General features: G+C 49.5%; 1 protein-coding gene across 1 annotated transcript in view, besides 1 other annotated feature; it reads left to right on the forward strand.

Moving 5' to 3' along the window:
• Positions 1–11095, forward strand: part of POLR2A (RNA polymerase II subunit A) — a 30251-nt gene extending 19156 nt beyond the window's left edge. Inside the window, 12 exon segments of the mRNA NM_000937.5 lie at positions 65–270; positions 4730–4954; positions 5423–5669; positions 6011–6111; positions 7694–7798; positions 7885–8067; positions 8290–8493; positions 8637–8823; positions 8956–9069; positions 9253–9402; positions 9500–10255; positions 10258–11095. Coding sequence (NP_000928.1) covers positions 65–270; positions 4730–4954; positions 5423–5669; positions 6011–6111; positions 7694–7798; positions 7885–8067; positions 8290–8493; positions 8637–8823; positions 8956–9069; positions 9253–9402; positions 9500–10255; positions 10258–10658 — 2879 coding nt within the window. The 3' untranslated portion in view covers positions 10659–11095.
• Positions 7746–8945: an enhancer, noted in NCBI's record as "CDK7 strongly-dependent group 2 enhancer chr17:7414586-7415785 (GRCh37/hg19 assembly coordinates)". NCBI's record gives its function as "activates an origin of replication core promoter dependent on BRD2, BRD4, P300/CBP, MED14 and CDK7 cofactors, with strong dependence on CDK7, by STARR-seq in HCT116 cells {active_cell/tissue: HCT116}" and the evidence as "EXISTENCE:reporter gene assay evidence [ECO:0000049][PMID:35650434]".

The following is a 12288-nucleotide window of genomic DNA, read 5'->3' on the forward strand; positions in this document are numbered from 1 at the left end:
GCTAGGGGATAGGAGACTGCTGGGCCCTGGTCTAATGATCTCCTCACCTTTAATTGGTCCCCAGGAGTCAAGGAATTGAGCAAGAAGCTGGTGATTGTGAATGGGGATGACCCACTAAGTCGACAGGCCCAGGAAAATGCCACGCTGCTCTTCAACATCCACCTGCGGTCCACGTTGTGTTCCCGCCGCATGGCAGAGGAGTTTCGGCTCAGTGGGGAGGCCTTCGACTGGCTGCTTGGGGAGATTGAGTCCAAGTTCAACCAAGCCATTGTGAGTGTTGTGCTCTTCACAGCAGTCTTCTTTTCCTCCTTTTACCTGTTGACTTCTGTGGTTTCCAAGAGCAGCCCACTTCTGTCCACAACCTACAGAATAGGTTCTGTAGGTTCTGTCCCACCTAATAATAGCTCTCATTCATGGAGAGACTGCTTGTACCTTACCAAGTCCTGTGTTTGGCCCATTATCGCTTTATACCATCATGGCTTTAATACACTCCTAGTAGGGGAGGGTTTGTTAGTCCCATGTTGCAGAGACAAAAACTGAGGCTTGGAGAGAGTGACTGGATTGTGTGATGGTCATATAGGAAGTAAGTGGCATGACTGGGATATGACATAGGAGAATTGTTCTTTTTTTTTTTCTCTACACTCTCTGCTGTGTGCAGGGTCTAATTTAGATAAAGATAGGGAATTGGGGCTAGGTGGGGTGGCTCACACCTATAATCCCAGCACTTTGGGAGGCCGAGGCAGGCAGATCACAAGGTCAGGAGTTCGAGACCAGCCTGACCAACATGGTGAAACAAGGGTGAAATACAAAAATTAGCCGGGCGTGGTGGCGTGTGCCTATAATCCCAGCTACTCAGGACGCTGAGGCAGGAGAATCGCTTGAACACAGGAGGCAGAGGTTGCAGTGAGCCAAGAGTGCGCCTTTGCACTCCAGCCTGGGCAACAGAGCAAGACTCCGTCTCAAAAAGGGAGTTGGAGAGAGTAAATAGAAAAAAAGATTTATGGCTATTGGAATGTGCTTTCACTGGCTTTAAGGATTTTATAGGATAGTAAGAGGGTAAAGCACTGTTACAGGCGTACCTCTGAACCTGTTTACTGTAAGTCAGTTTTTATAAATTAAATAATTAAAAATGTATTAGGGAACACCATAGAACATGGCTGAAAGAAATTGTAAAAGACCTAAATGAGGCCGGGTGCAGTGGCTTATGCCTGTAATCCCAGCACTTTGGGAGGCCGAGGTGGGCAGATCACCTGAGGTCAGGAGTTCAAGACCAGCCTTACCAACAGGAAGAAACCCCACCTTTACTAAAAATACAAAATTAGCAGGGTATAGTGGCACATGCCTGTAATCCCAGCTACTCTGGAGGCTGAGACAGGAGAATCACCTGAACCCGGGGATGGAGGTTGCGGTGACCCGAGATTGCACCATTGCACTCCAGCCTGGGCAACAAGAGTGAGACTGTATCAAAAAAAAAAAAAAAAAACCCTAAATGAAAGACCTCTCATATTCATGGATTGGAAGACTTAATATTGTTGAATATTAATATTGTTAATATACTTCCCAAAATAAGCTATAGATCCAATATAATCCCTATCAAAATTCCAACTGGCTTTTTCTCAGAAATTTATTAAGCTGATGTTAAAATTCATATGGAAATGCAAGGGATATAGAATAGCCAAAACAATATTTAAAAGTAGCAAAAGTTTGGAGAACTCACATTCCTGATTTCACAACTTACTACAGAGCTACAGTAAACAAGACTGTGCTTCTGTCATGAGGATACGTATAAAGACTGATAGAGTAGAATTGAGAGTCCAGAAATAAACCCTCACATTTATGGTCACTTGATTTTTTGCAAGAGTCCCAATTTAATTAAATGGGGTGAGAATACTCTTTTTAGCAAATGGTGCTAGGGCAACTAGATATCCACATGCAAGAGAATGAAGTTGGATTCCTACCTCATACCATGTACAAAAACTCTCAAAATGCCTAAATTGAAGAGCTAACACTATAAAACTCTTATAAGGAAACTTGAATAAATCTTCATGACTGTGGCTTAGCAGTGAATTCTTAGGTATGACACCAAAAGCATAAGCATCCAAAGGAAAAAATAGATGAATTGGACTTCATCAAAATTTAAAACTTAATGCTTCGTAGGACACTATCAAGAAAGTAAAAAGATAACACAGAGAATGGGAGAAAATATTTGGAAATCATCTGATAAGGGCCATACATAAAGAATATATAAAGGACTATAACAATAAAAAGTCAACAATAAAAAGTCTCAAAGGATTTCAACAAATGTTTCCTGGCTGGGCGTGGTGGCTCACGCCTGTAATCCTAACACTTTGGGAGGCTGAGGCGGGTGGATCACCTGAGGTTGGGAGTTTGAGACCAGCCTGATCAACATGGAGAAACCCCGTCTGTACTAAAAATACAAAATTAGCCGGGCATGTCGGCACATGCCTGTAATCCCAGTTACTCGGGAGGCTGAGGCAGGAGAATCGCTTGAACCTGGGAGGTGGAGGTTGCGATCAGCCGAGATAGTGCCATTGCACTCCAGCGTGGGCAACAAGAGTGAGACTCTGTCTCAAAAATAGTAATAAAATAAAAAAACAGGCTGGGCGCAGTGGCTCACGCCTGTAATCCCAGCACTTTGGGAGGCCGAGGCGGGCAGATCACGAGGTCAGGAGATTGAGACCATCCTGGCTAAGACGGTGAAACCCCGTCTCTACTAAAAAATACATAAATAAATAAATAAATAATAAAAAAAACATGTTTCCCCAAAGAAGAGTACTATTCATGTAAATGATCAGTAAGTGCATGAAAAGATACTCAACATCATTAGCCATCAGGGAAATGCAAATGAAACCAGAGTGATGTGCCACTTCACATGCACTAGGATGACTGTAATCCAAAACACAGATAATAACAAGTGTTGACAAGGATGTGGAAAAATTAGAACCCTCATACATTGCTAGTAGAAAAGGTACAACTGCTTTAGGAAGTTAAAGCAGTTACCATATGGCCCAGCAGTTTCGTTCCTAGAGAGATTATACACACACACACGAGAGAACAGAAAACATATGGCCACACAAACATTTATACACAAATGTTCGTATCAGTGTTACAGTAGCTAAGCAGTGAAAACAAGTGTCCATCCACTGATGAATGGATAGGCAAAATGTGATATGTCCATATGAGGGAACATCATTCAGCAATAAAAAGTAATGAACAGGCTGGGCCTACGTGGTGGCTCACGCCTGTAATCCCAGCACTTTGGGAGGCCAAGGCAGGTAGATGACTTGAGTTCCAGACCAGCAGCCTGCCCAACATGGTGAAACCCCCAACTCTACCAAAAATAGAAAAATTAAGTGTGGTGCTACATGCTTGCTATCCCAGCTACTTCGGAGGGTAAGGCAGGAGGATCACTTGAACCCAGGCAGCAGAGGTTGCAGTGAGCTGAGACTGCACCACCGCACTCCAGCCTGGGCGACAGAGGGAGACCATCTCAAAAAAAAAAAAGTAACGGACAGCCAAGCACAGTGGCTGATGTCTGTAATCCTAGCACTTTGGGAGGCTGAGGTGGGAAGATTGCTTGAGCCCAGAAGTTCAAGACCACCCTTGGGCAACATGACAAAACCCCATCTCTACAAAAAATTTAGCCAGGTGTGGTGGAGTGCACCTGTAATCCCAGCTACTTGGGAGGCTGAGGTGGGAGGATACCTGAGGCCAGGAGGTTGAAGCTGCAATAGTGAGCTGAGATCATGCTACTGTACTTCAGCCTGGGCAACAGAGTGAGACTCTATCTCAAAAAAAAAAAATCTGTCAAGCCACAAAAAGACAGTGATAAGCCAGATGCACTGGCTCATAACTCTAATCTCAACACTTTGGGAGGCCGAGGCAGGAGGCTCACGAGAGCCCAGGAGTTTGAGACCAGCCTGGGCAGCATAACGAAATTCTGTCTTTGCCAGTGATGAACCTTAAATGTATACTTGCTTAATGGAAGAAATTAGTCTGAAAAAGTTAGATACTGTGATTCCAGTTAAGTTTAATTTCGTATGTGACTATCTCATAACACATACGGGGAGCTTCCTATTTAGCTAACTGTTATAAAATGAATATTTACGGAGTAATTTTAACATAGGTTTAGAAATTTGGATCTTGGCCGGGCGAAGAGGCCCACACCTGTAATCCCAGCACTTTGGGAGGCCAAGGCGGGTGGATCACCTGAGGTCGGGAGTTTGAGACCAGCCTAACCAACATGGTGAAACCCCGTCTCTACTAAAGATACAAAAAAATATTAGCTGGGTGTGGTGGCACGCGTCTGTAATTCCAGCTACTTGGGAGGCTGAGGCAGGAGAATCGCTTGAACCTGGGAGGCAGAAGTTGCAGTGAGCCGAGATCGTGCCATTGCACTCCAGCCTAGGCGACGGTGAGACTCCGTCTCGAAAAAATTTGGATCTCAGATGGTATAGTAGCTTTCTTTGGATGTGCTGCATACCAGGTGCCAAATGGCGTCCTATAAATGGAAGCTCTTGTGTGAGGAAGGGGATGATCAAATAAGAGTTTTGTTTTTGTTAAGAGTCTGTCTGCCTTTTCCGAACTCATCTACCCATGTCCTTTAAGATTACAGTCCTGGCCCTGTGATAAGCCAGATGCAGATCCACATCGTACTCATTCACTGAAAGAGAGGCGTTGGCTTTGTCTGATGCTAGCTTTTTCTTAGGCGCATCCCGGGGAAATGGTGGGGGCTCTGGCTGCGCAGTCCCTTGGAGAACCTGCCACCCAGATGACCTTGAATACCTTCCACTATGCTGGTGTGTCTGCCAAGAATGTGACGCTGGGTGTGCCCCGACTTAAGGAGCTCATCAACATTTCCAAGAAGCCAAAGACTCCTTCGCTTACTGTCTTCCTGTTGGGCCAGTCCGCTCGAGATGCTGAGAGAGCCAAGGTAGGGATCAGGACTGCTGGGCTTTTTGGCCGGAAGAAAAGAAGGAGAACTCAACTGGGTATGGTGGCTCATGTCTGTAATCCCAGCACTTTGGGAGGCCAAGGCAGGTGGATCACCTGAGGTCAGGAGTTCAAGACTAACCTGGCCAAGGTGGTGAAACCCCATCTCTACTAAAAATAGAAAAATTAGCCGGGCATGGTCGTGTGTGCCTGTAATCCCAGCTGCTAGTTGGGGCTGAGACAGGAGAATCGCTTGAACCTGGGGGGCAGAGGTTGCAGTGAGCCGAGATTGTGCCACTGCACTCCAGCCTGGGCAACAAGAGCGAGATTCCATCTGAAAGAAAAAAAGAAAAAAAAGGAGAACTTTTCCCCTTGAATAAAGGGTTTTGGATTCCCTTGATAAGGAGGGTTAGAAGAGACGTTTAGAGCTACTCAGTTCCCTGTGTCATGGACTTCTGTCTCTTCCCAGGATATTCTGTGCCGTCTGGAGCATACAACGTTGAGGAAGGTGACTGCCAACACAGCCATCTACTATGACCCCAACCCCCAGAGCACGGTGGTGGCAGAGGATCAGGAATGGGTGAATGTCTACTATGAAATGCCTGACTTTGATGTGGCCCGAATCTCCCCCTGGCTGTTGCGGGTGGAGCTGGATCGGAAGCACATGACTGACCGGAAGCTCACCATGGAGCAGATTGCTGAAAAGATCAATGCTGGTAAGCCTAGGAGGGCTGGCCTGGCTCAGGAGCCCCGCTCTCTGGGCTACCACCTATCGTGTTCACCGCACTTGAGCCCCCAAAGAGCTACCCACCCTCACCCCCATGCATGTACCAGTTCCGCCCCTCCGAGGCATCCTCCAACTCTCCAGGTCCCCTCTGCACTCCCTTTCTCTTCTGAATGTTCTCCCTTCCCCTTTCCAGGGGGTTCTATGAAAAGAAAGTTTCTGTGAGGAGCGGGGAGCCAAAAGAGAGCCTTGCTCAGAGAGAGCTGCGAGTGGACAGTGGCTGGGGCCAGTCCCCTTAGCTGCAGCCTTTCTCATGGCTCCTCACCCCACCAGGTTTTGGTGACGACTTGAACTGCATCTTTAATGATGACAATGCAGAGAAGCTGGTGCTCCGTATTCGCATCATGAACAGCGATGAGAACAAGATGCAAGAGGTAATGGGGGTCCTAGAAGTCAGCGTGTCACATGTATAAAACGCATGAATCACGTTAGAGACCAAAGAAAAGAAGATGCAATCAACATTGAGGGGCGGCCAGGCGCGGTGGCTCACGCCTGTAATCCCAGCACTTTGGGAGGCTGAGGCGGGTGGATCACCTGAGCTCAGGAGTTCGAGACCAGCCTGACCAACATGGAGTAACCCCGTCTCTACTAAAAATAAAAATTAGCCGGGCATGGTGGTATGTGCCTGTAATCCTAGCTACTTGGGAGGCTGAGGCAACAAGAGTGAAACTATCTCAAAAAATAAAAAAAACATTGAGGGGCCAGTCATACCCACCTAATTTAGGGATAGGGAATGGTGATTAGCAACGATTTTCAAAATCCACAGCACCGGCCGAGTAGATAAAACAGGTGGTGTTGAAATAGGAGATAGGAGTGCCTCCCTGTCACGCTGTCACTTGGCTCTCCTCCCCCAAGGCTCCTGCAGCTTGCTTTGCTTAGGGAATACAAGCCCCACCCCTGAGGCAGGGGCCAGACTTGGGGGCAGGTTGGGCAGTAGGCATTGCTATGTCCTAGGGGAAGTCGTGTGACAGCCATAACAAGACCCATGAAAAGGCTGGATCAGTGACTTCACTCCTGGGCATGGCTCCTGAGATACTTGTTTGGCACATGTTGGTACCTGGTGCTTTAGTAATAAAAACTGAAGAACTCAGGCTGGGCATGGTGGCTCACACTTGTAATCCCAGCACTTTGGGAGGCCAAGGCGGGCAGATTACCTGAGGTCGGGAGTTCGAGACCAGCCTGACCGACATGGAGAAACCCCGTCTCTACTAAAAATACAAAATGAGCCGGGCGTGGTGGCGCATGCCTGTAATCTCAGTTACTCAGGAGGCTGAGGCAGGAGAAATGCTTGAACATGGGAGGCAGAGGTTGTGGTGAGGCAAGATCACACCATTGCACTCCAGCCTGGGCAATAAGCGAAACTCCATCTCTAAAAAAACAAAAACAAAAAACTGAAGAACTCACTAACTGCTGAACTGCTGTCAGAGAACAGTTATAAAAGCATTGATAGGTCTTGATGGAATACAGTATATGGCCATTAGAAGTGATCACTGTCATGCCAGCAGCAGCCTAGATGAACACACAGTGAAGTGCCAGAGCAGGGAATGGTGTGTGCTCGGGTACAGCAGTTGGGAGGATATGACATGTACGTGGAGCCCGCCTCTCGCTAGGCGCAGGACTGCACAAGAGTGGAAGTTGTGACGGGGTGGTGGGATTTGGGTGCCTTTCCTTAGGCTTCTTTTAATATTGTAAAATCAGGATTAAAAGTCTCACTGGAGAATTGCAGGAACATGGGAGGTAGAGGTTGCAGTGAGCTGAGATCGTGGCATTGCACTCCAGCCCAGGCTGATAACAGCGAGACTCCACCTCAAAAAAAAAAAAAAAAAAGTCTCACTGGAACTGTGAGGGGCAGAGCCTGGTGACTGACTCGTTTGGCCCTCAAAGAGGCTGTAGTTGGAGGCGAGAGCTGGGGAAGAGACCAGAGGATGCCAAGTGCTGACCTCACTCTCACTGCAGGAGGAAGAGGTGGTGGACAAGATGGATGATGATGTCTTCCTGCGCTGCATCGAGTCCAACATGCTGACAGATATGACCCTGCAGGGCATCGAGCAGATCAGCAAGGTCAGCCATCCCCTCTGCCACCGCCTTCCTCCTCCCACTCCCACACTCCCCTCCCTGCCTACTCTGAGCACGCTGTCTTCCCACAGGTGTACATGCACTTGCCACAGACAGACAACAAGAAGAAGATCATCATCACGGAGGATGGGGAATTCAAGGCCCTGCAGGAGTGGATCCTGGAGACGGACGGCGTGAGCTTGATGCGGGTGCTGAGTGAGAAGGACGTGGACCCCGTACGCACCACGTCCAATGACATTGTGGAGATCTTCACGGTGAGCCCGTGTGTGCTGCCTAGCTGCCTTTCGTGGATCTCTGGCTCTCAGGCCCCTCATTCTGTGCTGTCCACTCAGGACTTTTTCTGCCTGATTCCATTTCTGAGTGTGGGATATCCTGGCTCCTGACACCCTCCCTGGATCTGGGTGGCGACAGAAGCAGGGAAGAGAGCAGAGTTGCTCAGTCCTGGCCCTCCCCTCCACTTCCCTCCCCTGTGCCAGGTGCTGGGCATTGAAGCCGTGCGGAAGGCCCTGGAGCGGGAGCTGTACCACGTCATCTCCTTTGATGGCTCCTATGTCAATTACCGACACTTGGCTCTCTTGTGTGATACCATGACCTGTCGTGGCCACTTGATGGCCATCACCCGACACGGAGTCAACCGCCAGGACACAGGACCACTCATGAAGTGTTCCTTTGAGGAAACGGTAACAGTGGAATTTCTGAATAGGGCAGAAGGAGGGAGTAGTGTGAGAAGAAGGGCACACACTTTGGGCAGCTGGGCTGTGGTGATGGGACAGTCAGGTGCTGTGTGTGGAGGGGTCTCATGGGGCCGGTCTGCTCTGTTCAGGTGGACGTGCTTATGGAAGCAGCCGCACACGGTGAGAGTGACCCCATGAAGGGGGTCTCTGAGAATATCATGCTGGGCCAGCTGGCTCCGGCCGGCACTGGCTGCTTTGACCTCCTGCTTGATGCAGAGAAGTGCAAGTATGGCATGGAGATCCCCACCAATATCCCCGGCCTGGGGGCTGCTGGACGTGAGTATGAGGCCCCAGCTGCGGTACCTGCTTGCGTCGGCGAGGCGGGGGGGCAGGCCATGGGTGCAAGGGTGTCACCAGTCCATGATTGCTGTTCTTGCTCCTCACGATTTCCTGTGTTCCTCTTTGCAGCCACCGGCATGTTCTTTGGTTCAGCACCCAGTCCCATGGGTGGAATCTCTCCTGCCATGACACCTTGGAACCAGGGTGCAACCCCTGCCTATGGCGCCTGGTCCCCCAGTGTTGGTGAGTAACCTGATCCAGGAAGAGGGCCCTCCAGGTGGTTCAGAGGTGGATAAGCTGGGATCGTGAACGGTAGCCATTGTTGGAACTCTGAAGGCCGCAGAGGGCTAGTGAAAGGTGGGGCAGGGAGAATTGGGGGCCTTTGGTCTCCCGCTCTGGCCTTAACTTGCTTCTCTCACTCTATAGGGAGTGGAATGACCCCAGGGGCAGCCGGCTTCTCTCCCAGTGCTGCGTCAGATGCCAGCGGCTTCAGCCCAGGTTACTCCCCTGCCTGGTCTCCCACACCGGGCTCCCCGGGGTCCCCAGGTCCCTCAAGCCCCTACATCCCTTCACCAGGTGAGTTGTCGCCATCTGTCAGGCCAGGTTTGTTTCCTCCACAGTTCTGGGTGAGTCTGTCCATTGCTCATCTCCTTTGTTGGCTGCTTCCCCACAGGTGGTGCCATGTCTCCCAGCTACTCGCCAACGTCACCTGCCTACGAGCCCCGCTCTCCTGGGGGCTACACACCCCAGAGTCCCTCTTATTCCCCCACTTCACCCTCCTACTCCCCTACCTCTCCATCCTATTCTCCAACCAGTCCCAACTATAGTCCCACATCACCCAGCTATTCGCCAACGTCACCCAGCTACTCACCGACCTCTCCCAGCTACTCACCCACCTCTCCCAGCTACTCGCCCACCTCTCCCAGCTACTCGCCCACCTCTCCCAGCTACTCACCCACTTCCCCTAGCTACTCGCCCACTTCCCCTAGCTACTCGCCAACGTCTCCCAGCTACTCGCCGACATCTCCCAGCTACTCGCCAACTTCACCCAGCTATTCTCCCACTTCTCCCAGCTACTCACCTACCTCTCCAAGCTATTCACCCACCTCCCCCAGCTACTCACCCACTTCCCCAAGTTACTCACCCACCAGCCCGAACTATTCTCCAACCAGTCCCAATTACACCCCAACATCACCCAGCTACAGCCCGACATCACCCAGCTATTCACCTACTAGTCCCAACTACACACCTACCAGCCCTAACTACAGCCCAACCTCTCCAAGCTACTCTCCAACATCACCCAGCTATTCCCCGACCTCACCAAGTTACTCCCCTTCCAGCCCACGATACACACCACAGTCTCCAACCTATACCCCAAGCTCACCCAGCTACAGCCCCAGCTCGCCCAGCTACAGCCCAACCTCACCCACAAGTACACCCCAACCAGTCCTTCTTACAGTCCCAGCTCCCCAGAGTATACCCCAACCTCTCCCAAGTACTCACCTACCAGTCCCAAATATTCACCCACCTCTCCCAAGTACTCGCCTACCAGTCCCACCTATTCACCCACCACCCCAAAATACTCCCCAACATCTCCTACTTATTCCCCAACCTCTCCAGTCTACACCCCAACCTCTCCCAAGTACTCACCTACTAGCCCCACTTACTCGCCCACTTCCCCCAAGTACTCGCCCACCAGCCCCACCTACTCGCCCACCTCCCCCAAAGGCTCAACCTACTCTCCCACTTCCCCTGGTTACTCGCCCACCAGCCCCACCTACAGTCTCACAAGCCCGGCTATCAGCCCGGATGACAGTGACGAGGAGAACTGAGGGCACGTGGGGTGCGGCAGCGGGCTAGGGCCCAGGGCAGCTTGCCCGTGCTGCTGTGCAGTTCTTGCCTCCCTCACGGGGCGTCACCCCCAGCCCAGCTCCGTTGTACATAAATGCCTTGTGGCAGAGCTCCCGGTGAACTTCTGGATCCCGTTTCTGATGCAGACTCTTGTCTTGTTCTCCACTTGTGCTGTTAGAACTCACTGGCCCAGTGGTGTTCTCACTCCTACCCCACCCACCCCCTGCCTGTCCCCAAATTGAAGATCCTTCCTTGCCTGTGGCTTGATGCGGGGCGGGTAAAGGGTATTTTAACTTAGGGGTAGTTCCTGCTGTGAGTGGTTACAGCTGATCCTCGGGAAGAACAAAGCTAAAGCTGCCTTTTGTCTGTTATTTTATTTTTTTGAAGTTTAAATAAAGTTTACTAATTTTGACCAAAAGTATGTACATCGAGTGCTTCATTGGGGTTCAGGAGACCCCCAGGCCCCTGCCTCCTGCCTGGGCTGCTGCTTGATCTGTTAGGGGGAGGGGACCAGGAAAATGGGAGGGTACCTTACAGTCAGCCCACACACAGCCCCTGCTCTGTGCCAGGCACTGCTCTGTACTGAGTTTGTTATAGTCACAACAGATGCAGCTCTTGTCCTCTATTAAGGTGATATTGACCATAACAGCTTTTTAACTTGTTTTACTGATTGTCATAAATAATTTGGAAAAGTGTAGAAAAGTATAATGCAGAGGGAGAAAAATGATCACCCATAATCCCACCACTAGGAGGCATACTTTCTTTGGTATTTTTTCCTATACTTTTCTTGAGTCACTAACAAGTGAACAAAAATGTACTTTGATTTTGGCCTCAAACCAAGAATGAAAAGATTATATAGATGTTGTAATACAGAAGCTGAAGTAAAAGGACTTGGGGGTAATACGCTAGTTTTAGCCGGCTATTTTTCCCCCTTTCATTAGCACCTTAATGTGGTATCAATGTTCTACATCCTCTGCAAGTCATTTCTGATTTACTTGAGGTATTTTTATTTTTATTTTATTTTTTTGAGACAGTCTCGCTCTGTTGCCCAGGCTGGAGTGCAGTGGCGCAGTCTCGGCTCACTACAACCTCTGCCTCTTGGGTTCAAGCAATTCTCACTGCCTCAGCCTTCCAAGTAGCTGCGATTGCAGATGTCCGTCACCATGCCCAGCTACTTTGGTATTTTTAATAGAGAAGGGATTTCACAGTGTTGGCCAGGCTGGTCTCAAACTCCTGATTTCAGGTGATCTGTCCACTTTGGCCTCCCAAAGTGCTGGGATTACAGGCATGAGCCACTGCACCTGGCCTGTTATCTAGAAATGTCTATTTTGCCTTCATTCCTAAAGAATATCTTTGCTAGAGATAGGATTCTGGTGTGACAGATTCATTTTTTGTTTTTAGCACTTTTTTTTTTTTTTTTAGGAGCAGAGGTTTAATATGCAAAAGATAGAGAAAAGAGAACAGCTCGCTCTCTTGTGGGGGAGAGGGGCTTCTGAAAGGGAAGTCCCTAAGATGTCCTATCTTCCGGCCCTCACAGTTTCTAGTGAGAAGTTCACAGTCTTTGGGATCATATTTCTTGTGTTATTTTTCTCTAAATGCTTTCAAGATTTT

The sequence above is a fragment of the Homo sapiens genome, chromosome 17, assembly GCF_000001405.40.
Source record: "Homo sapiens chromosome 17, GRCh38.p14 Primary Assembly".
NCBI classification, from domain to species: domain Eukaryota; kingdom Metazoa; phylum Chordata; class Mammalia; order Primates; family Hominidae; genus Homo; species Homo sapiens.